Source organism: Homo sapiens, chromosome 4 (assembly GCF_000001405.40).
Source record: "Homo sapiens chromosome 4, GRCh38.p14 Primary Assembly".
In the NCBI taxonomy this organism is placed as follows: Eukaryota; Metazoa; Chordata; class Mammalia; order Primates; family Hominidae; genus Homo; species Homo sapiens.
Genome location: NC_000004.12, coordinates 79,660,320 through 79,685,153, shown reverse-complemented (window position 1 = coordinate 79,685,153; position 24,834 = coordinate 79,660,320). Strand labels below are relative to the sequence as shown.

Here is a 24,834-nt window from a genome sequence, read left to right as displayed (position 1 = left end):
ATATATTGAAGTGTCCATTGCTTCTTGTGAGGCAGAATGGCTGGAGTCTACTTTTCTCGAAACTTTGGAACACAAGTATGAACAATCCTGTATTAGCAAATTAAAGTTGTTAATAGCAAAAGAAAAGGAAGAAAGGAGGGATATGGTAACATAATTATAAAACACATACACAGACCTGAGTAAAGATGAACCAATGTGTGTTGGGGGTGGAGGGGTGGAGTGGGGGCAAATGTAGTGCTGGGAAGACGAGAAGACCTGAGTATGGTGGCAGGAAGAGGAGTGGTTCTATACCCAGTTCCAGAATTTTGCATATCAGTTGTTTTGTACAATGTTTTAGAAACAATGTAGCCTATGCTTGAACTTGAAATTACCACCTGATATTCTTAGCTTTATTTTCAAGATCATAGAATCAAAAGGGTTTTGACAAAATTCGCCTATCCAGCGATTTTCAATCTTTATTTCCTGAGTCTTAAGATTCTAGTTAAACTACTTCAAGTATTCATTCCCTGGGGATTGAGGGGAGTAAGAAAAACTTCCCACCACATTTTTAGTTGATTCTGCTTTTCTAAAAAGCCATAGAAGCATTGTCTGTAAAGATAGGAAATTGAAGGAAGTTTTAACTAAGACAATCTGGTCTGCTTCTTCCTTTGGGTAAGTTTGTTTTGTTGGACATACATGGTCGTCCTCAGGCACAGAGAACAAGCCAGATTTAATTTGAGTGAACCTAGCAGCATTTATAGGATATTTACTGGAGTCTTTACTTCCAAAAACGATCACAACCTGTCTTGTTCACAGTATTCTGATATAGTTCCTGGCTTGTGATTGATTCTCAATGATTGAACTTATCATAGTAATCACCATTATATAGTGGCAGATGAAACTCTGACTCCTAGTCTAGGGCTGCATATAATGAAGGCTGTGGAGTCCAATCTTACCCATGCTAAGTCCTGGCAATTTATCCCACCTCCTCCGTGCAGTCTTCCTGTACTACTCCTGGCCTCCATAATCTTTTCTCTCCTCCTGGGCTGATAGCAAGAAAATTCTGGAACTGGGTCTCCTTTAATGTTGGCTGGTAATCCTCTTGCTAGTTTTGATCTGTCAACAAGATTGTAATATCCTCAAAAACACAGATAGTCCGTTTTAATTTTTTAAATGTATTCCTCAAGTATACAAATTCTAGAAGAGTGCTTAATTTGTTATAAGCAAGCAAGAATATTTCTTGATTGATAGGCTCTGCTCATTTCAGAAACATATTACAACTTGTTGGAACATTCCAACTTGAAAAGTATCTTTTATAACATCTGTTTTGTATATTATCTCTGCTCTTGAAAAGATTTAGTTTTATAATGAATAATTTTCACTTCCCTAATGCATATGTAATCCTATTCTGGATTGAAATTAAGAAAAGAGGCCAGTATTCTACTGTATTTCAGTCTTGCCATTTCAGGGGAATAGAACATGAACACAAATGTACTCGCATCACTCAGACTTTTATATACTACATCAACTGATATGTTGGATTGTGTATAAAAATGACACTCAGAACTCCTGGATTTTTATTTTATCTCAATTTTTACATGATCTGAATTCTAAAATATTATATCTACATATTAGGTTTCAAATATTTTAAGTGGCTGGATAGCATTTCCTTACCAATTTGTGAGCAGTGGTCTAAATCTCACTTAAGTGCTGTCTGTCAGGTACATTAACTGCTTTATAGAACAGGATTGTATAAATACTAGAACTCATTGTTACTGTGTCTCCAAGACATTATTCCAAGAAATGTAATTCTCTGGCCTCAAGTGTAAGTTAAACATTATAACATACGCTCTGCTTGGAGCAATGATGACTGGTAAGACTGCCACCTGGCTAACAAGCCCAATGAGAAATGTACAGGGGGTTCTGATGTCATTTATAACAATGCCTATACATTGGATAACAAGGGCTGCATTGGCTCCCACCTCGGTTGGCTGTCTTCACTGCTGGAAAGACTGATCTGCCTCTCTGAGCTGCTGTTGGCCATTGCCACCTGCTGACTCTGGCACACTGCTCCCCTGGCTCCCCTCCTGGTGTTGTCCTGGCAGCCTCCCCAAACTGCCAAGTTTGAGCCAGTGAGCACAGGGGTGTTTGGAGCTCTTCACTTTGCTGAGGCTACATCCTGCAAACCGGTTGACAGCGGGGTGTCTTGGTGCTCTCCTGGGTCATTGTGTTGACTACTATGGTGATCAGCTGGCTGGCAGCAGCGGTGATTGGAAATTGCCCCAGAGAACGTCACAAATTGGCAAAGAAAAGATATTGAGGGAATGAGTCTTTACAAGAGAAAATAAACAATGCTTTATGTGGTAGCTGTGAGCATTTTCTATTCAGCCTGAATTCATTTTAGGCATTCAAAACTTTTCTCAGAGAGAGTTGCATTTAAACATTTATGTTTTAGTCTTGCAACTCTTCGTTCTATTGGTTTTACTTTTAACTTCTTGCAAAGAGCTTAGACGTACCCATTTAGTATGTGATAGGTCAGTGCCTACATGAGCTCACATAGTTTCTGGGGGCAGACCTGTGATGAAACATCAGGCTGTTCCCCCATCCCGTGTTTTAAACACTGACACGACGCACTGATATTTTTAATCATCTGTATGACAAACAAAGATTTTGTGTACATTATCAATACACTGAAGAATCCTCTCTTAATATAAGTGGAGCCATTTAAGAGCTATTGTCCAAACCAGGCTGTAAAAGCCCCAGTTGGAATCACAGCTGACTCTGCTGTGCTCTTTTAATGCTCACCACATACAGAATCATAATAACACACATAGCATTCCAGGGAGTGTGAATCATGCCATGAGACTGGGCTTTTCTGGAGTGTTTTAAAATGTAGATTTCGTTTTTGTTCAGGTATGGTGGGACCAACACATTAGGAGATGACTGCCATTGAAAAGACAGCTTGTGATACTCACTGATACCAAGAGGAGGGCACGTATCTTGCCATGCTGTTGGGGGGCCCACAGGGCATCACCACAGTCAGTCAGGAAACAGAAGGTGTAGGGGAAAACATGGACAAGAGCATTGTTCCATGGGAAGGGATAAATGAGACAGAGTAAAAAGGTTTAGGGTTTCCTAGTATGAATAATTCCAGCAGGCTCTAAGGTATAGGGGCTATCTGTAGTTGTCTGGTACCTGGCCCTGGGGTGACTAGGATGGAGAATAGTGGCCTAGAGTATGAAAATCTGATGGAGGAGATAGTTGGGATATGGGCTCTGGATGGGTTAGTTTGCATAGAAAAGACACCCTTATAGATGTGTCATTTCTATCCCTATTAAGTAACCCTGAGAAGGGCAGTCTCTCCTGGGCTCTAGGTGTCAACTAATCAAGAATAAAAAGTAAAAGAATATTTTTAATATGTGGAGTTAGCTAGCCTTCACACTGTCATGCTACATTGAATTTACGGCAACAGGGCTGTGGCTTATTTGCTCTTTATATTATCTTCAAGGAAGAAATTTCAAATCCAAGAGTCTTGAGTTTTCTAATAATGACTTTGGTACAGAAGGGAAGGGTATGTGACCTCTGACACTCAAAATGGCCAGTCATAGTCATTGTATGGCTGGGTGCAAAGAGAAGGGGAAAAATAAGAAAAGAAAGAAACCTCAGCAGAAGCATAATTATGTCCAGTGAAAGCACCACGGACCATGATGGCAGGTCCATTTGATAGGCCGCAAATCTGATGAGAGAGAGAGACATATTAGAAAAGCACCAAGTCCTAATTTTGCTTTGTTGGGAATTAGCATACATAAATCAGAGTTTTTTCAATGTTGACTTGAGATTATTTGGCTTGTAAGCAATAGGCAGTCATGTCTACTGCGGAGGAAGTGTGACCCGGGATGGACCCTGGCTCTGGTACTTAGGAGCTCTGTGATGTTGGGCTAACCTCACCAGATCTAACTTTCTTTATCATTAATAAGGAGAAAATATATGAAGATAGCAATAGTACCTTGAAGAAGTGCTCAAAAAATGTTAGTTTTGAGTAAATCAAATCTCACTAGAAAGAGCCAACATAGCAAAATTAATTTGATCAACCTTATATCTGGTATATGTTTTTCCCTCTTTCACACTCTTACTAGTAAACATAGTATTTTCGTTTTCCATTTTTATCCCCTTCAACTTGATGTTACAACATTTCCAGTCTTTCCACCAAAATTGCTTCTGAAAAAAACAGTTTGAGCACATGTTTGCATTTAAAAAAAAGAACATAAGACTAAAGAGTACAGACATGCTGCAAGGGAAGGTTAATACACCAGTAAATTCCTATGTCTTCTGTTCTGATTTTCCTTTCACTTACATATAATAATTCAGGTATATTTATGGATTTTGTACTTTTGGGAAGTCATATAGTCTCATAGAAGAGAATTAGGAAAACAATGACTAGGAGAAGGAAGAAAATATTTTAGTCACCCACATTCTTTCCATCCAAACTTATAAAATTGTTCATTTTTTATTGTCTTTATTTATTCAAAAGCAGTATCCTAAGGATATAATTATTAACAAACGATACATAATTTTCATATTTTTGTTAAATGTTGTATTATAAGTATTTGTAAAGTTGTTCCATATTGTATTATAACTTTTTTAGTGTCTCAGTAATACTCTCTTTAATACTTTTCAGGTCATTATAAGAATTATTGAGATGACCGAGAACATTTGAGTATTGAACAATGGTCCCAAGCTGATGGTCCATAGGCTAGAGCTAGCCAGAAGATACATTTGGCAAAAAGGACTCCCTTAAAGAACACTAACCTTTAGAAAACTCAAAGGAGTTTATTTAAAAATAGGAATTTGTAATTCTCTCAAAAACCTGGCCCCTGGCAATGCTGAACTTGTATTCTTCTGTGCGAGAACCTTTGAAAATAGAGTCCTCTTCTGACTTGGCATGAGTTTGTCACTTTGTTATAATTTTCCTTTCCCTCCTGCTCTCACTCAATTTAACTGCATTTGAGAATTTTAAAGACTTAGGAATCAAGATAAGTGCATGGTTGAGCTAGATGTCACTAAAGTCACATCAAACAAACTGTAAGAGTTTAAGCCTTTAGTTTAGTAATAAGGCCCCAGGGACAAGAATGGCAGTAGCAGAAATGAAGTGAAACTAGACAACTCATTTGATAGCAAAGATGAAGAAGATGAGAGGATACTTATAAAATTTTGAGTCTGGAAGTGTGTGGAAAGGTCATTGACTAATGGGGGAAGATGGCAAATTTGACTTCTTGTTTGTTGTCGTTGTTGTTTTTAGAGACAGGGTCTCTCTCTGTTACCCTGCCTGGAGTACAGTGGCACAACTGTAGCTCACTGGCCTCAACCTCTTGGGATCAAGCAATCTCCTGCCTCAACCTCCTAAGTAGCTAGGACAACAAATCAGCACTGTTGATCTGTGCCACTACACCCAGATCATTTTATTTTAAAGTTTTTTTTTTAGAGATGAGGTCTTGCTATGCTGCCCAGGCTGGTCTCAAACTCCTACCCTCAAGCAGTCCTCCTGCCTTGACCTCCCAAAGTGCTGGGGCTACACACATGAGCCATTTCTGACCAAATTTGATTTTTATTTATGTAATTTTTTTCCTTCAAAACTTGAAGAAATTCAAAGCATAAATTATTACTATGTGTCTGCATTAACTACGTTGCTTCCTACAAATGGCCAGCAATGTCTTCCATTTCTCTTTCTGTAGCTGGGCTGAGATCATAGGAAGTACTTAACTCTAGTTGACAAAGTCCAATCATTGAGTCAGCAAAGTAACAGGCACATTTTACTGCTTAATGATCTAATCACGCTTTGAGTATTGAGCTGAGTTATCCCATCCAAAAGAGAAAAGACTTGAGACTTTATTACAGGAACAACCACCTAATGAACATGACGATTTCTTTCAAGAATTTAAGGGTGTACTTGCATAAAAAGGAGTCAGTTTCCTATGAATGACCTCAAAGTGCAAACTCAGAAACAGTAAATACAAATTGTATTTTGGTAGGCTTAAAATAAATATAATGAAGAATCTTCTAAAAAATAGAGGTCTTTAAAAATAGAAATGTATCTGTGGAAAGTGTTAGGTTTTCTTTCATCAGAGGTATACAGTCACATGCTGGAAGAGGACTTGCAGTGAGCTAGACAGGGGGCACAAGCACTGATTAAATGACCTGTAAAATTGTATCCAGTCCTGATAATATGATTCTGTTAGCTAGAGTAACCTGCAAATAACTCCAGAGACTTTGAATTGATCAACAGAAGTAGCAAACTCTGAAACACGACTTTCACTTCAAGTGGAGCTAAGAACTCGAGAGTAATCTTCCATCTCCCACTCAGCTCTCCACTGGTTGCCAAACTGCAGGGGAGTAAAAGACTGTGTTATCTTGATAGACGAGCTGGAGAATCCCACACAGCTGTGTTGTGGAAATGTTCTCAATTTCCCTCATGATAACATTGAGTCATAAAAGGAAGAAATGAACATTTATTTGCCAACTCCACCTGTCTGTTGGGCCCACCATATCTATATTAGCATCAAGGGAACTTGCCTATAGTGCTGAAATTTTTATCAGTAGGAGAGAAGCAACTGTTCTTTCCCTTAAGTTGTGGTTAAAGCCAGTTACTTTTTTCATCAGAAACTAAATGATAAGAACTAAGACTTGGGTGACTCATTTGTCAACGTTAACATTTAGTAAAATGTTTGGAACCAAAAATCTCAAAACTTTTGAGCTTCACATATTAAAAATTCAACACTAGGGTGAGAATTACTTTTGTTCTGAATCCAGCCTGAATATATAAAACAATCTTTTAATTAGAAAAAAGGAAGAAAAAAAGACAATTTACTTGTGTTTTCTGGATAGGAGTAAGGTCAAATAAAGGAGGTAAATGAAAATTTAAGAGGGACAACAGTTTTTTTTTAAATCCAAAGATCTGGGATTTAACCTTTTCTTCTCTTTTTTTCTTTTCCTTTCCTTATTTTTTTTTATAAATTCATTATTTCTGAAATCACTGCATAAAATGTCCCTTATATTATCAAAGAGGATTAATTTTAGAGTTGAATTGGAAGTGAGTTTTCAATCTATCCAGATTAACTGAGGCACTAATTGAAGTGGCTTTTTTCTTTTTATTTATATTTGCAATCACCTCCTCTACTTCCTTTACACTTTAAGTCCAGATATTTGTTAGGCAGATTCCTTTTAAAAATTGAGCCTACAATACCACTTTGGATCCACACTCTTAAGCTGAAATGTAAGTATCACCTGGTGGGACAATGTGTGTGTTTTTCTGTTTTTCAGAATAATGCAAACACCAAACAAAAATAATAAATAACAAAAACAAAACAGGTTCTCTGGACCACAACAGCAAATCAGACTTGGCATCTGTACCCACCAGATTCACCATTTGATTGATAACTGTGATTTGCTGACTCTCTCAATTACTCTGGTTTCATTACAGTGTGAGAAATGTGCCAAGCACTCATTTGGTTTTTATTATCTTTCTAGTCTTCTGCTTTCATGAAATACCCAAAACTGGCATTTCAGGAAAAGGATAGGTAAATTAACTACAGCTGAAAAGAAAAGAGAAATCAGTTTTATTCAGTACGTCCCCCACAATCAGTATTATACAGTAGTCCTCCCTTATCCACGGGGCCTACGCTCCAAGACCCACAGTGGATGCCTGAAACCAGCGATAGTACTGAACCCAAGCACTGCAATACCACCACAGCCTGATAATCCAGAGGATAAGTGACTAATGGGTGGGTACATTTACAGCGTGGATATGCTGGATGAAAGGATGATCCACATCCTGTATAGGATGGAGTGGGTTGGCATTGGAGATTTCATCACATTCCTCAGAAAACATACATTTAGAAACTTATGAATTGTTTATTTCTGGAATTTTCCACTTAATATTTTCAGACTGCAGTTGACCATGGGTAACTAAATTAGCAGGAAGTGAAATCACAGATAAGTGGGGGCCACTGTATTACATTATCACTAAAAACCATATACAAATGCACAATTACCATTCAGAACACTACAAACTAGAATACAACCTGTTCTGAGTTCTCCTAATGTACAGATCCTATATATCTTTGGCTTTTCTTTTCTTCTACTAATAAAATCCTCTTTCTGGTCTCAGGTGAACAGAGCCATTTCCAGTCAATTGTCACAACCTCCTTCCTTTGCACCTACGTGGTCACTGATCCATGCATAATATAGTTTTGGAATTAGCTTGAATCAAAAGGATGACACTGAACCTTATGACTCACGCAGCTTTTGAGTGTGTTAGAAGCCCAGGCTCTCTTAATTATGTAACATTTGGAATCAGAACAAAAATGACAAACCAGATCCTTTCTTTCAGGACATAAACATTAGAGAATATGGACTGTTTCTTGGAGCATCTTTAAGATCATGGATGACCCAACCTTGACCTAGCAGCTGTGGAAATGCCCAAGCCTTTTACAGATTCAAATAAGACTGTCTAACTCTGGTCACTAAATGCTAGGAATAATTTTAAGGTAGAGGTGAACTCTAGATGTTTGCTACTGTGTTCATATTTTGTTTGAAAACTCTATTCAGAACTCCAGTTCCTGCGCTTTCTCTCATTTCTATATTTTGCTGTCACCATTAGGATGGTGGTAGATCTGTTTCCAAATGTAATTCAGAAAATGTCAGAAAATGAACAGTCTAAATGTTGCCACCTATAGATAACAAACTGCATTTTATTTTATGACAATGCAAATTTAAAAAAAAAAGAGCAGGGAAAGGAAAAATGAGTGATCCCATTTGAATTCTGTTTCCAATCTGGCTATTAGCAATTTTGTATATATTCTCCTTCGTCATTAACACTTATGAGTAGTGTCTCCAATCACCCTGCTTTTTTGACTAATGCCCCAGTGGGGCTCTTTACCATTAACCATATTGGAAAGGGATTTGAATGGAGATCTTCTTCTCTATGATAGCAACATTCCAACTGGTAATTTTGAGGCTTGGCCCCTTTACACTTAGCCCATATTTTCTGCTTTGAGCAAATCTGCCTCTTTCTCATCTTACCCATTTTTGCTTATTTACTTCCCTATATTATTTGTGAGCAATTGATTTCCTGGACGATGTAGCAAGGTCTTTCAGTGTTGGGGTGCTTTCAAATGCATACTTGTGGTTTTCGCAAGTTCAAACACAGACTTTGGCATAATAAGCATGTATTAATTTTTGATATGTAAATCAATAGAATTGAAAAATTATATATATATATATCATAATGTTATTGGTCTAGGTTAATATAGAACCTATCCTAAATTTTGCTCAGTTAATATTTATCTTATTTTTCATACTAAGATTTTATCATTTTCTTAAGATCACAAATTTTTTTTTAATTAATAATGAACAGAAATTTATTTCTCACAGTTCTGGAGCATGGGAAGTCCAAGATCAAGGGGACAGCATCTGGCAAGGGCCTTCTTGCTACATCATCCCATGGCAGAAAATGGAAAGGCAAGAGAGAGACTCTATTCCTGAAAGTCTTTTAAAAAAATGATTTTTTTAAAGAGATGGGGGTCTCACTATGTTGTTCAGGCTGGACTGCAATGTCTATTCACAGGCACAGTTATGGCACACTACAGCTTCAAACTGCTGTGCTCAAGTGATCCTCCTGCCTTAGTCTCCCAAGTAGCTCCCTGAAAGCTGGCTCCTCAAAAGCCTCTTTTTTTTTTTAATTATACTTTAAGTTCTAGGGTACATGTGCACAATGTGCAGGTTTGTTATGTATGTATACATGTGCCATGTTGGTGTGCTGCACTCATTAACTCATCATTTACATGAGGTGTATCTTCTAATGATATCCCTCCCCACTCCCACCACCCCACGACAGGCCCTGGTGTGTGATGGTGTTTGGGAGTGTTCTCATTGTTCAGTTCCCACCTATGAATGGGTGAGAACATGTGGTATTTGGTTTTCTGTCCTTGCGATAATTTGCTCAGAATGATGGTTTCCAACTTCATCCATGTCCCTACAAAGGACATGAACTCATCCTTTTTTATGGCTGCATAGTATTCCATGGTATATATGTGCCACATTTTCTTAATCCGGTCTATCGTTGATGGACATTTGGGTTGGTTCCAAGTCTTTGCTATTGTGAATAGTGCACAATAAACATATGTGTGCAAGAAGATCACAAACTTTTAAATGTGTATTTTCTGTATTCTGAAATTAAAATATATTTGTGTAGGGATATAGCTATTTAAAAACATTCTTAGAAAAGTAAAACAAACAAAAAACAAAAAAACCTCTACATTAAACTCTACTTTTCCACTGTTTTCTATATATTTTTATTCTTTTAAAAGCTTTTCCATCCTGGCTAACACAGTGAAACCCCGTCTCTACTAAAAAAATACAAAAAAATTAGCCGGGCATGGTGGCAGGTGCCTTGTAGTCCCAGGTACTCGGGAGGCTGAGACAGGAGAATGGTGTGAATCCCGGAGGCAGAGCTTGCAGTGAGCTGAGATCGCTACCACTGCACTCCAGCCTGGACAACAAGCGAGACTCCGTCTTAAAAAAAAAAAAAAAAAAAAAAAAGCCTTTCATAACTAACAGTTTTAGAAAGCCCCCTTACAGATTAATGGATTGACTGAAAGTGAAATTGTCAATGAATGCTGTCTCTATTCAGTGACAACACTAGCCTTTGGATTTGGTCCGGATTTTTATATAAAATCTCTCCTGAGTATGTTTAATAACTTCAGAAAAATCACACCTGAAAAGAAACCATTCATAAAAAAACGCAAGGAATGAAAAGGTAGAGGATGTTCAGGAAAAGAAGGTATGTTTAATGTCTTAGGTCACATTTTTCTTAAAGTTACATATTAAGCACTGTGCTTATGTACAAATTTCAGAAGGTACATATGTGGTATCACCACTGTAATACAGCCGTGTTAAGACACTACTGCCGAAGTGGTTCCTCATTCCTTTGTTTCTAATAAATTACAATGATATATGATATTTACTCCCATAGGCCTCAGTGGTTTTTTTTGTGGGCTTGGGCGTAAAGAACCCCATATCCAGGTTGTGTATATTTCCTTCTTTAACAGTTGTAGCACTTCCTCTTTCTCTGTCACTAACCTTATGCTGAGAGAAAAAAGGTGAGACTCTCCAAAAATTTTATCTATTGTGTAAAAACAGATGTGGAAAGAGCAGGCATAAGGTACAGTCTTATGATTATAACACAGTTTTAAAGTAAGATGTCTAAATATCTCATTTTCCATTTAGTTACTGAGTGTTACTAAAAGTTCCAGGCACTGCTCAGTTCAGAAGCTAACATTTCCTGAAAAAGTGGAGAACTCCAATGAAGCTCTTCCCTGGAGACCCAATGATAAACACAAACTCCAGGAACTCCACGAATCAATCGTTCCTATTCTTATGGAGTTTCGAGTCTGATGATCTTTAACCTGAAAAGACATTCTAATTTCCTGAATCCATACTATGTTGTACTAGGTCAGGAATTGGCACACTATGGCCTAAGGGCCAAATCTGGCCTACGACCTGTTTTTGTAAAGTTTTACTGGAACACAGCCATGCCCATTTATGTGCATATTGTCTGTGGCGGCTTTTGTGCTACAAAAGCAGAACTGAGTTGTTGTGATAGACGCCATATGGGTTGCAAAGCCTAAAATATTTACTGTCTGTTCCTTTACAGAAAAAAAATTGCCAACGCCTGTGCTAGGTGAAATGATAACCCATAGACAACTATGTTATCTATTTAAAGCTGGTTTTACTTCCTACACCCCAGTGAATCCTTTTTAACACCCCACTGTGTTTACTCTGCTGATTATTTCTTTTGCTGTGCAGGAGATTTTTAGCTAATTAAGTCCCATTTATTTATCTTTGCATTTGCTTTTGGGCTCTTGGTCATGAAGTCTTTGTGTAAACCAATGTCTAGAAGTCTAGAAGGGTTTTTCTGATGTTATCTTCTCAAATCTTTATGGTTTCAGGTGTTAGATTTAAGTCTTTCATCCATCTTGAGTTGATTTTTGTATAAGGTGAGAGGTGAGGATCCAGTTTCTTTCTTCTACATGTGGCTTGCCAATTATCCCAGAACTGTTTGTTTAATAGGGTGTCCTTTTCCCACTTTATTTTTTTGATTGCTTGTTGAAGATCAGTTGGCAGTAAGTATTTGGCTTTATTTCTGGGTTCTCTATTCTGTTCCATTGGTCTATGTGCCTATTTTTATACAACTACCATGCTGTTTTGGTGACTATAGTCTTATAATATAGTTTGAAGTTGGGTAATGTGATTCTTCCAGATTTGTCCTTCTTGCTTTGGCTATGCAGGCTCTTTTGTGATTCCAAATGAACTTTAGGATTGTTTTTTTGAGTTCTGTGAAGAATGATGGTGGTAGTTTGATGGAAGTTGCATTGAATTTTTAGATTGCTTTGGCAGTATGGTCATTTTCACAATATTGATGAGCATGGGATGTGTTTCCATTTGTTTGTGTCATTTATGATTTCTTTCAGCAGTGTTTTTGTAGTTTCCTTGTAGAGTTCTTTCACATCCTTGATTGAGTATATTCCAAAGTACTTTTTTTTGGCAACTATTGTGAAAGAGGTTGAGTTCTTGATTTGATTCTCAGTTTGGCCACTGTTGGTATATAGCAGAGCTACTGATTTGTGTACATTAATTTTGTATCCTGAAACTTTGCTGAATTCGTTTACCAGTTTTGGAGCTTTTTGGATGAGTCTTAAGGGTTTTCTAGGTATACATTCACATCTTCAGCGAACAGTGACATCTGACTTCCTCTTTACCAATTTTGATCCTTTTTCTTTCTCTTGTGTAATTGCTCTAGCTAGGACTTCCAGTACTATGTTGAATAGAAGTAGTGAAAATGGACATCCTTATCTTGTTCCCTTTCTCAGAGGAAACAGGAAAATATCACAATCTTAAATATATATGCACATAACACTGGAAGCCCCAAATTTATAAAACAATTACTACTAGACCTAAGAAGTGAGATAGATGACAACATAATAATACTGGGGGACTTCAATACTCCACTGACAGCACTAGACAGGTCATCAAGACAGAAAGTCAACAAAGAAACAATCGACTTAATGGTTACTCAGAGGTAATCATTTCAATTTTTCCCTGTTGTATAATGTTGTATAATGTTGGCTGTGGGTTTTTCATAGATGGCTCTTATTACCTAAAGTTATGTCCCTTCTATGGTGATTTTACAGAGGATTTTAATCATAAAGGATTCTGGATTTTGTCAAATGCTTTTTCTGCATCTATTGAGATGATCATGTGATTTTAAAAAAATTGTTTATGTGGTGTATCACATTTCTTGACTTGTGTATGTTAAATCATCCCTGTATCCCTAGTATGAAACCCACTTGATTATGGTATATTATCTTTTTGATATGCTGTTAGATTTGATTTGCTGGTATTTTGGTGAGGATTTTTGCATCTATGTTCATCAGGGATATTGGTCTGTATTTTTCTTTTTTTGTTATGTCTTTCCCTGGTTTGGGGTATTGGAGTAATACTGGCTTCATAGAATGTTTTAGGGAACATTTTCTCTTTTTCTGTCTATTGGAATAGTGTCAATAGGATTGGTACTAATTTTTTGAATGTCTGATAGAATTTAGCTGTGAATCCACCTGGTCCTGGACTTTGTTTTTTTGTTGGTAACTTCTTAATTATCATTTCAATCTCACTGCTTGTTATTGGCCTTTTCAGAGATTCTATATCTTCCTGGTTTAACCTTCAAGGGTTATATATTTCCAGGAATTCATTCATCTTCTCTAGGTTTTCTAGTTTATGCAAATAAAGATGTTCATAGTAGCTTTGAATAAACTTTTGCATTTCTGTGATATCAGTTGTAATATCTTCTCTTCCATTTCTAATTGAGCTTATTTGGATCTTCTCTCTTCTTGGTTTATCTCACTAATGGCTTATCAATTTTATTTATCTTTTCAAAGAACCAGCTTTTTGTTTCATTTATCTTTTGTATTGTTTTTTGTTTGTTTGTTTGTTTCAATTTCATTTAGTTCTGCTCTGATCTTTGTTATTTCTTTTCTTCTGCTGGGTTTGGGTTTGGATCATTCTTGCTTTTCCAGTCCCATGAGGTGTAACCTTAGATTGTCTATTTGTGCTCTTTCATATTTTGATGTAGGCATTTAATGCTATGAACATTCCTCTTAACACTGCTTTTGCCATATCCTGGAGGTTTTGATAGGTTGTGTCACTATTATTGTTCAGTTCAAAGAATTTTTAAATTTTCATCTTGATTTCATTGTTGACTCAATGATCATTCAAGAGCAGGTTATTTAATTTCTATATATTTGCATGGTTTTGAGGGTTCCTTTTGGAGTTGATTTCCAATTTTATTCCACTATGGTCTGACAGAGTACTTGATATAATTTTGATTTTCTTAAACTTACTGAGACTTGTTTTGTGGCCTATCATATAGTCTATCTTGGAGAACGTTCCACGTGCTGAGTAATAGAATGTTTTTTCTTCAGTTGTTGGGTAGAATGTTCCGTAAATACCCATTAAGTCCATTTGTTGCAGTGTATAGTTTAAGTCAATTGTTTCTTTGTTGACTTTCTGTCTTGATGACCTGTCTAGTACTGTCAGTGGAGTATTGAGGTCCCTCAGTATTATTGTGTTGTCATCTATCTCATTTCTTAGGTCTAGTAGTAATTGTTTTATAAATTTGGGGCTTCCAGTGTTAGGTGCATATATATTTAAGATTGTGATATTTTCCTGTTGAACTAGTCCTTTTATCATCATATAGTGTCTGTCTTTGTCTTTTTTAACTGCTGTTGCTTTAAAGTTTGTTTCATTTGGTGTAAGAATAGCTACTCCTGCTCACTTTTGGTGTCCATTTGCATGGAATGCTTTTTTCCACCCCTTTACCTTAAGTTTATGTTAAGTCCTTATGTGTTAGGTGAGTCTTCTGAAGATTGCAGAAACTTATTTGGTGAATTCTTATCTATTCTGCCATTCTGTGTATTTTCAGTGTCAGGGTTAGGACATTTACATTCAATGTTAGTATTGAGACATAAGGTACTATTCTATTCATCACACTAGTTACTAGTTGTTGCCTGAATACCTCGTTTTTTTGTTTTTCTTTTTTTTTTCATTGTGTTGCTATATAGGTCCTGTGAGATTTATGCTTTGAGGAGGTTCTATTTTGGTGTACTTTGAGAATTTATTTCAAGATTTAGAGCTCCTTTTTGCAGTTCTTGTAGTGCTGGGTTGGTAGTAGCGAATTCTCTCAGCACTTGTTTGTCTGGAAAAGACTGTATCTTCCCTTCACTTATGAAGCTTAGTTTTGCTGGATACAAAATTTTTGGCTGATAATGTTTTGTTTAAGGAGGCTAAAAATAGAACCCCAATCTCTTCTGGCTTGTAGAGTTTCTGCTGGTAAATCAGCTGTTAATCTGAAAAGTTTTCCTCTATAGGTTACCTGATGCTTTTTCTTCACAGCGCTTAAGGTTCTTTTCTTTGTCTTGACTTCAGATAACATGATGACTATGTACTTAGGCACTGATCTTTTTGTGATGAATTTTCCAGGTGTTAGTTGAGCTTCTTGTACTTGCATGTCTAGATCTCTAGTAAAACCAGGGAAGTTTTCCTCGATTATTCCCTCAAAGATGTTTTCCAAACTTTTAGATTTCTCTTCTTCCTCGGGAACACCAATAATTATTTTGTTGGGATTTTTAACATAGTCACAAACCTCTTGGAGGCTTTGCTTATTTTTTAAAAAATCTTTTCTCTTTGTCTTTGATGGATTCGGTTAATTCAAAAGCCTTGTCTTTGAGCTCTGAAGTTCTTTCTTCTGCTTGTTCAATTCTATTGCTGAGACTTTCCAGTGTATTTTTCATTTCTCTAAGTGTGTCCTTGATTTCCAGAAGTTGTGATTGTTTTTTATTTATGCTATCCATTTTACTGAATAATTTACCTTTCATATCCTGTATATTTTTTATTTCTTTAAGTTGGACTTTGTCTGTCTCTGCTGCCTCCTTGATTGCCTTAACAATTGACCTTCTGAATTTCTTTCTGGCCATTCAGAGATTTAGTCTTGGTTTGGATCCATTGCTGATGAGCTGGTATGATCTTTTGGGGGTGTTAAAGAGCCTTGTTTTGTCATATTACCAGAAATGTTTTTCTGGTTCCTTCTCATTTGGGTAGACTATGTCAGAGGGAAGATCTGGGATTCAAGGGCTGCTGTTCAGTTTCTTTTGTCCCATGGGGTACTCCCTTGGTGTGGTGTTCTCCCACTTCTCCTAGGAATGGGGCTTCCTGAGAGCCAAACTGTAGTGATTGTTTTTGATCTTCTGGGTCTAGCCACTCAGCAGAGCTACCAGGCTCTGGGCTGGTACTGGGGAGTGTCTGCAAAGAGTCGTGTGATACGATCCATCTTCAGGCCTTGCAACCATAGATACACAGCACCTGCTCCGGTGGAAGTAGCAGGAGAGTGAAGTGAACTCTGAGGGTCCTCGGTTGTGTTTTTGTTCAGTGCACTGGTTTTGTGTTGGTTGGCCTCAAGCCAGGAGGTGGTGTTTTCAAGAGTGCATCAGCTACAGTCCTGCATAGGGAGGTTGCAAACTTGCCCTAGGGACACCTGGTTAAATGTTCAGGTTTCTCAGGTGGTGGGCAGGGCCACAGAGCCCCCAAGAGATTATAACTTTTGTCTTTAGCTACCAGAGGGGATAGAGAAAGACTACCAGGTAGGGGCAGGGATAGGTGTGTCTGACCTCAGCCTCTCCTTGAGTGAGGTTTGCTAAGGCTGCTGTTGGGGATGGGGGTGTGGTTCCTAGCCCAATGGAGTTATATTCCCAGGGAGATTGTGGCTGCCTCTACTGAGTCATACAAGTCACCGGGGAAGTGGGGGAAAACCAGAAGTTACAGGCTTCACCCTGCTGCCATTCATCCCACAGTCCTAAAGGCCAATCTCACTCTCACCATGGCCCCCCCAACAGCACCGAGTCTATTTCCAGGCAGCCAGTCACCAGGGAAGAGAACTTACCCCAGACCATGAGCCTCCCAGTTGAGAAAGCAAGCAGATTCACAGTTTTTGGCATCTCAGGGAGTCTGCAGGGGTGGTACAGTTCCTTCAAAGGGTCTGTGGATTCTCTTGGCTTTCCTGATATGTTCCTGCAGTAGTTCTTGGAGCAAAAGTTGATAACATGAGTCTCCACGTGCTGCTCCATCCATCTGAGTGAGAGCTGTAAGCTATTCCTGCCTCCTACCCGCAATCTTCTGGCATTTGACTTTCAACTGCTGCCATGGAAAATGACATACCAGGTATACTTTTATAAACAACCTTGAACCTTGAAAGTTTTTAAAATGCTTTTCTTGTTACTTCTCAGATCTAAACCCTAGAATTTGGATTCTTCACATAAAAAAATATGGCTTGAAAAATAGTTTTTAAAATATATATTAAAAAATTTATATTTTTATAAATAAAAAATTATATATATATAAATTTCAGTCAACAAACCATTGACATGCCAAGCCATATGGGAGCTTGAGGCAGAAGTAAAAATCAGTAATAGCGATCCTGTCTTTATAGTAATACTATCAGCAACACTGGTACTGATACAACTGATACAACACTGACAGCAATATTGTCAGCAGTACTGATAGTATTACTATCAATGTAGTAATACTGATACTTGACATTTTGATATTTTGTTTATCATAGGTTTTTCACACCAATCGATTATTAAAATGTCACATAAAGTGTCATTTACGTTTATTACTGAGTTTTTTGGCACTCCCTTGAATTTTGCTTGAAAAGCCAGTGCCTCACTCACCCTAGTCTCAGCCCTGCACAAAGCCAAATATTTTAAAGATAATTTTCTTTCACTGAGAAAATAATGTTAAATAAAGTTGCAAAGAAAAAATCATTCTGATACTCTTTTCCTTCATGACCTTGTTTTTAGTTTTACAATAGAATAAAATTTCATATAAATATGTGTTTTTCATCTGCTTATATTTGATAACTGAGGTGTCAGAGGGAGGATACAGGAATCTGCATGTGGACGATAATCATTGGTGGATATTTCACAGTGGGTGAAGGGTGAAGGTTGTCTAGGAAACAGCTTTATACTCTGGGGATTGGTTGTCTTTTACTTCCTCCTTCATTTTTGAATCGATGTAAACTATAATCCCGGTAAGTGCATCTCTCCTGACTTTCACTCCCATGGTCTATCCCAGAGTCTCTATAGAAAGGAATTCAGAGAGTGTTAGAAAGAAGCAAGTTTTTCCAGCCAAAATCTAAAACCATGCCCTCTAGTCATTTTTTAGTAACAATGCTAACATCTTCTTCATTAATCCACCTCTTATGCCTTATTCTCAACTAGTTCTAAACATGAGATGGGAAGAAAGGGCTGTTGTTCTTTATTGACTTTAAATCTAATCAGAAAGATCTTTTGATTTTAGACATTTTAACTCTAATAGTAAACTTAAAGTCATCTCTGGTCTGCCCACATTTTACTCATAATTTTGATTCCTTTACAAATGGATAAACTTAACAAAAAGGAAGCCTTTTATTTTAAATTAAAATGAAGTATCAACAAAACAGATTATTTAAAAAACAAAACATAACTTGATAATTTTAAATCTTATTTTCATTTTGCATGTTGACCTCACCAAATGCATGTTTGTTTCATAGTTGCTATGTTACATAGCAAATATATTCTGATTTTTCATTCTACATTCTATCAAATACATTTTTCTATATTTACATAATCATAACAGTATTTATATATTGTGCTATAACTTACCAAATCGTGTCCTATTTAAACATTTTGATTTTTTAAAATTTTTATTCTAATGAAGATAATCAACATATGTATATACACACACATCCATACACACACATGTGTTTCTGTTTACAGTGCTGTTTTCTTCATATGAATAACTAGAAGTAGGGTTACTAGGTCAAAAATATGACTATATTTATGGTTGTAGTTACCTATAGTTACCTATTCAAGCTTTTTTTAGAGGTGTGATTGTGTTTTTAAAAATTATTTGAGCTTTCCTTTCTAAATTTCAAAATAATTTATGTATTTTGGTGTTATCTTACTGATAAAACACCAAGCAAACTCTAATATATAGATAAGAACACTGAAGTATAAAGCAAGGTAAGGTATTTGTTTTTATGTGTTACAAATAGTTGGATTAAAAACATCAACAGTGAGTTACTTCATTTATATAACAAAAACATCTGAATACACAAAAGTAGACACTTTTTTTTCTAAAAGGTTTTTTTAATGTTTTTTATCTGGCTGTTATAATGCTATGTAAATATACCTTGTTCCCAATTAAAATATTAGTTACAAAATAGGAACATGTAGTAAATGATGATCACATACGTTCAAACAAGTTAAAATTGAAATAAAATGTACTGCTGTTAGAAGGTAAACTGAGGCAAAATGACATTTTTAAAGCGTTTATTTGAGCAAATAGCAGTTCATGAACTGGGCAGCTCCAACCTAAAGGAGGTTTCAGGCTTCACCAAGAGAACTAAAGAGGAAGGTTTTTTATAGGGCAAACATGGAAATAAAGCAAATATATATATATATATATATATATATATATATATATTTGATTAGTTACAGTTATACAGTTGCCTTATTAGGTCTATCCTGCTAAAAAGTCTCTAGTAATACATATACTTGTAAGTTGATTGGCAGCTTCTGTTTGATTAGCCTGAAGTTTCATATTTACTTAATATAGGTAATTACAAAAAAAAAAAAAAGGCTTGCTAAGTTTCTCTTAAGTTTGAAAATCAGGAAAGGTTAAGGTAACTTATGAGACCTAACTGGCTTTGTCTGCTTAGGGATTCTCCAGGCCTGATCTCCATCTAAATTTATTTTAACATTGCTAAAACTGAGGTCACCATAAAATGACGATTCTTATTTTACTATTGAAGGAAGACTAAGGCTGTAAAGCAGAATATAGAAAGTACAAAACACTATTTTCTAGCAGTTACTAAAATTCTTTTGGAATTCCTTTCCTTATTTATTACATTTCACTAAGCCAAAATTCTTTTGTTTAAAAATCTATGAATTGAGTATGACCATTAAAACATTATTTTAGTTTTCCTTTGCTTTTTTGGTTTTTGGTTTCTTGTTTCAAACTTATTCTCAAAGATTTCCAGTATCAAAATTCATAGAAACATTCAGATTTCATCTGGCACCATTTTAGATTCATTTATAAAAATAAATCTTAATGTGAAGACCATTGCTAATTGGAAAAAAAAAGCTAAACAATTACTTGCATAATTAAATTCCCATATCATTTTTTCATTAGTATATTTTTGCCTAGGGAATTGACTTTTGAACTTTTTATTTCAAGTCCCAGCTCTGATGTTATAGATCGGAACTGTAAAATTAAGTAGATAAAACAAGTCGGTCCCCATTGTCACTCAGGCTATTTGTAGTAGTTCTTAAATTTGACCAGATTGTGTTTCATATTTACAATATACTTTGCCTAAAAATTATCAAAATAATTTGCAAGCTATATGAAAACAGAATACATTAGGAATACAATTACAGGTGCACCCAGCTTTTTTTTTTAAAAAAAAGGCAGATATAAAAATAATATATTAAGTAGCAGATATATTATTTAATGAGTGCTTGAACTAGAAAAATTAGAAATGGTGTATTACTATCATAAGGATTCCTTTTTTTCCTAATGAGCTTTCCTATTTATATAAAATGTTATTTGATTTTTTAAAATTCCATTTGGCAAAATTTTCAGGAATATGTTACTTGCCCTCTGTGTCAGTCTCTCTGGTTACAAAATATTGGTGTTTCAAATAGAGAAATGCATCTAATTGGATGAAAAAGTATTGGAGTGGCTGGAGGAGCAAAATGAGGAGGTGAGTTAAACCAGATAATAGTAAATACACAAAACTGCTATCACCTTAGGAAGGAGAAAGGAAAATCACCCAGATTGCATGACCGCTTTGTAGCTGAGGCTGAGAAAACTGCTGCCATTGGAATCAGTTGGAGGAAACCAGAAGCTCACACCACAACTAACGCTGCAAAATCCCAAGGCCTGTAGCTACACCTGCTGAAGCCGGAGCCCAAAAGAACTTTGCTAAAGGCCACGTGACACACCTAATGCCTCCACCACCTCTACAACAGAAACCTGAGCAGAAACCTGTAATCCATACTCCTGTGAAGGAGTCTGCACCTTTGCTATTTATTCTACTACCACAAGTACAGCCTAAAAGAGTAAAGCAATAGAAAAATGGCATCCTTCCTTTCAGTTTATAACTTTCCACTGCTTACCATCATCAGAACATAACAGAAAGCCTGCGGTGTGGGGAGATGGAGTAGCTGGGAAACGTAGGTTTCCAGGTTTCTAGTCCTCATGGCACAAATCAGAGCAAAGGTTGGTAAGAGTGGAGCAAAGGAACAAATACGTGATGTCACAGCCTTACATAGCATACAACTTATAAATATTTTATTTCTTCTTCAAACACTTGAAAGGTATAAAAGTTAAAATAATAGTTATAGTTGTAATATCAACAAATAATTATTTGATTCTTGTGCTGTGAACATGATTTAACAGGAGTACTTGACTACATACATACACACAAATAAACTGTGATTAGAAAGTAGGGTAAAATTCTTGTTGCCTCAAAGAGACAAGGTGATTTTGCAATTATCTGAGAACACAGATCCCATCTGTGTTGGCTATCTCAGCCCATTCTCATTCCAGGGGAAGCTATTGCAGTTGCAGACTCTGCTCTGAACAGTTAAAATGACTTCTGATGCTAACTACCTGGAGTTAAGCCACGCTTCACAGGTTCAGGGCACATTCTTCCACATGACTGCTCTCACTTCAAACACCAGCCACAAACTTAGGTGTTTCTAGACTATCATTACTTCTGACCAATTAACTGCAAATCTGGTGGCTTCCAATATCCCTGGCATTTTGATAATTGTCTAGAACAAATCACAGAACTCAGGAAAGTGCTATACTTAAAACAGTTTTATTAAATCAAAAAAGAAGCAAATCAGAACCAGCCAAAAGAAGAGACTCATAAAACGAAATCTGACAGGGTCCAAACATGAAGTTTTCAATATCATCTCCCCATGGGTCAGAATGTACCCCTTTCACCATGTGAAGTACTGCCAGCAGGGAAGCTCACCCAGGTTCCAGTGTCCAGAGTTCTATTGGTGTTTCATTGCATCGGAATGATGGATTGAATCATTGGCCTGTGATTAAACTGAAAGCCCACATCCCCTTTTCTCCCTGAAGGTCAGATAGGTATCATGTGGCTCAAAGCTTCAGTCTTCTAATCACATGGTTGGTCTTTTTGGTGTGGTTAGCTCACATTGTAAGTCACTGCCTTATTACAAACTATCTACAGATAGACGTGTCACTTTTTAGCATAAACTACCCGTAAATGACAGACACTCCTATAACTCCAGAAATTCCAGAGATTTGCAGGCTACCTCTCAGAAACTAAGGGAAAAGTCCAGCCAAATTCTGTTTTAAGAAAGCACTTTTACATTATTCTTTTACTAAATTATTGTTTTAAAATAATTTCAACTTTTATTTTCGATTCAGAGGGTACATGTATAGGTTTGCTACCTGGGTATATAGAGTGATGCTGAGGTTTGAGTTAAAAATGATCCCATCATCCAGGTAATGAGCACAGAACCCAAAAGGTAATTTTTCAGCCCTTGACTCCCTTCCCTCTCTCCCTTTTAGTAGCCCCAATGTTTTGTTGTTCTCATTTTTATGTCTATATGTACCCAATGTTCAGCTCCCATGCATAAGTGACACCATGAAGTATTTGGTTATCTGATCTGTTCCCATGATAATTCACTTAGGATGACGGCCTCCAGCTGCATCCATGTTGCTACAAAGGACATTATTTCATTCATTTTATGGCTGCATAGGATTCCATTATGTATATGTATTACATTTTCTTTATCCAATCCAACAGTGCTGGGGCCCTAGGTTGATTGATTCCATGTCTGCTATTGTGAATAGTGCTTCCATGAACATACAAGTACATATGTCTTTTTGGTAGAATAATTTATTTTTCTTCAGGTATATATCCAGTAATGGGATTGCTGGGTAGAATGGTAGTTCTGTTTTCAGTTCTTTTTTTCTTTTTCTTTTTCTTTTGAGTTGGAATATCACTCTGTCACCCAGGCTGGAGTGCAGTGGTGTAGTCTCAGCTCACTGCAACCTCCACCTACCGGGTTCAAGCAATTCTCCTGCCTCAGCCTCCCGAGTAGCTGGAATTACAGGTGTCTGCTACCATGCCCAGCGAATTTTTATATTTTTAGTAGAGATGGGGTTTCACCGTGTTGACCAGGCTGGTCTCGAATTCTTGATCTCAAGTGATCCACCTGCCTTGGCCTCTCAAAGTGCTAGGATTACAGGCATAAGCCATTGTGCCCGGCCTGTTTTCAGTTCTTTAAGAAATCTCCAAACTGCTTTCCAAAGTGGCTGAACTAATTGACATTCACACCAACATTGTAAAGGTGTTCCTTTTTCCACAGCCTTGCCAGCTGTATTAGTCCATTTTCATGCTGCTGATAAAGACATACCCAAGACTGGGAAGTAGAAAATGTTTAATGGACTTACAGTTCCACATAGCTGGGGAGGCCTCACAATCGTGGCAGAAGGCAAGGAGGAGCAAGTCATGTCTTAATGGTGGCAAGCAAAAAGAGGGAGTGTGTATAGGGAAATTCCCATCTATAAAGTCATCAGATCTCATTAGACTTATTCATTATCACGAGAACAACATGAAAAAGTTCCATGATTCAGTTACCTCTGTGAGTCAATTACTTCCCACCAGGTTTCTCCCAGGGCACATAAGAATTGTGGGAGTTACAACTGAAGATGAGATTTGGGTTGAGACACAGAGCCAAACCATATCATTCCACCCTAGCCCCTCCCAAATCTCATGTCCTCACATTTCAAAACAAATCACATCTTCCCAACAATCCCCTGAAGTCTTAATTCATTTCAGCAATAACTCAAAAGTCCACAGTCCAAAGACTCATTTAAGACAAGGTATGTCCCATCCACTTATGAGCCTGTAAAATCAAAAGCAAGTTAGTTACTTCCTAGATACAATGGAGGTACAAGCATTGGGTAAATACAGCCAATCCAAATGGGAGAAATTGGCCAAAACAAAGGGGCTAGAGGCCCCATGCAAGCCCAAAATCCAGTGGGGCAATCAAATCTTAAAGCTCCAAAATAATCTCCTTTGGGTCCATGTCACACAGCTAGGTCACGCTGGTGCAAGAGGTGAGTTCCCATGGTTTTGGATAGCTCCACCCCTGTGGCTTTGCAGGATACAGCCTCCTTCCCCACTGCCTTCACAGGTTGGCATTAAGTGTCCGTGGCTTTTCCAGGCGCACAAAGCAAGCTGTCAGTGGATCTACCATTCTGGCTTCTGGAGGATGGCAGCCCTCTTCTCACACCTCCACTAGGCAGTGCCCTAGCAGGGACTCTTTATGGGGGCTCTGACTGCACATTTCCCTTCTGCACTGCCCTAGCAGAGGTTCTCCATAAGGACCCCACCTCTTCAGCAAACTTCTGCCTGAGTATCCAGGCATTTCCATACATCTTCTGAAATCTAGGCAGAGGTTCCCAAACCTTAACTCTTGACTTCTGTGCATTTGCAGCCTCAACACCACGTGAAAGCTGCCCAGGCTTGGGGCTTGTACCCTCTAAAGCCATGGTCCAAGCTCTCCATTGGCCACTTTCAGCCACAGCTGGAGGGGCTGGGAAGAGGGCACCAAGTCCCTAGGCTTCACACAGCACGGGGACCCTAGGCCTGGCCCA

At 37.3% G+C, this 24,834-nt stretch overlaps 1 long non-coding RNA gene across 3 annotated transcripts in view, besides 1 other annotated feature; it reads right to left on the bottom strand.

The window, feature by feature from the left end:
- LINC02469 (long intergenic non-protein coding RNA 2469) overlaps window positions 1–21,447 on the bottom strand; it is a 32,748-nt gene extending 11,301 nt beyond the window's left edge. For all 3 annotated transcript variants that reach the window (XR_007058159.1, XR_007058158.1, XR_007058157.1), the window contains exons 1-2: window positions 21,306–21,447; window positions 17,027–17,165 (exon numbers count right to left, since the gene is read on the bottom strand). This is a non-coding gene — a long non-coding RNA (long intergenic non-protein coding RNA 2469). The remainder of the gene's footprint in view (window positions 1–17,026; window positions 17,166–21,305) is intronic.
- Window positions 23,239–23,409: a silencer, noted in NCBI's record as "fragment chr4:80582899-80583069 (GRCh37/hg19 assembly coordinates)". NCBI's record gives its function as "represses an EF-1alpha promoter that drives an FKBP-Casp9 reporter gene in an ReSE screen in HepG2 liver carcinoma cells {active_cell/tissue: HepG2}" and the evidence as "EXISTENCE:reporter gene assay evidence [ECO:0000049][PMID:32094911]".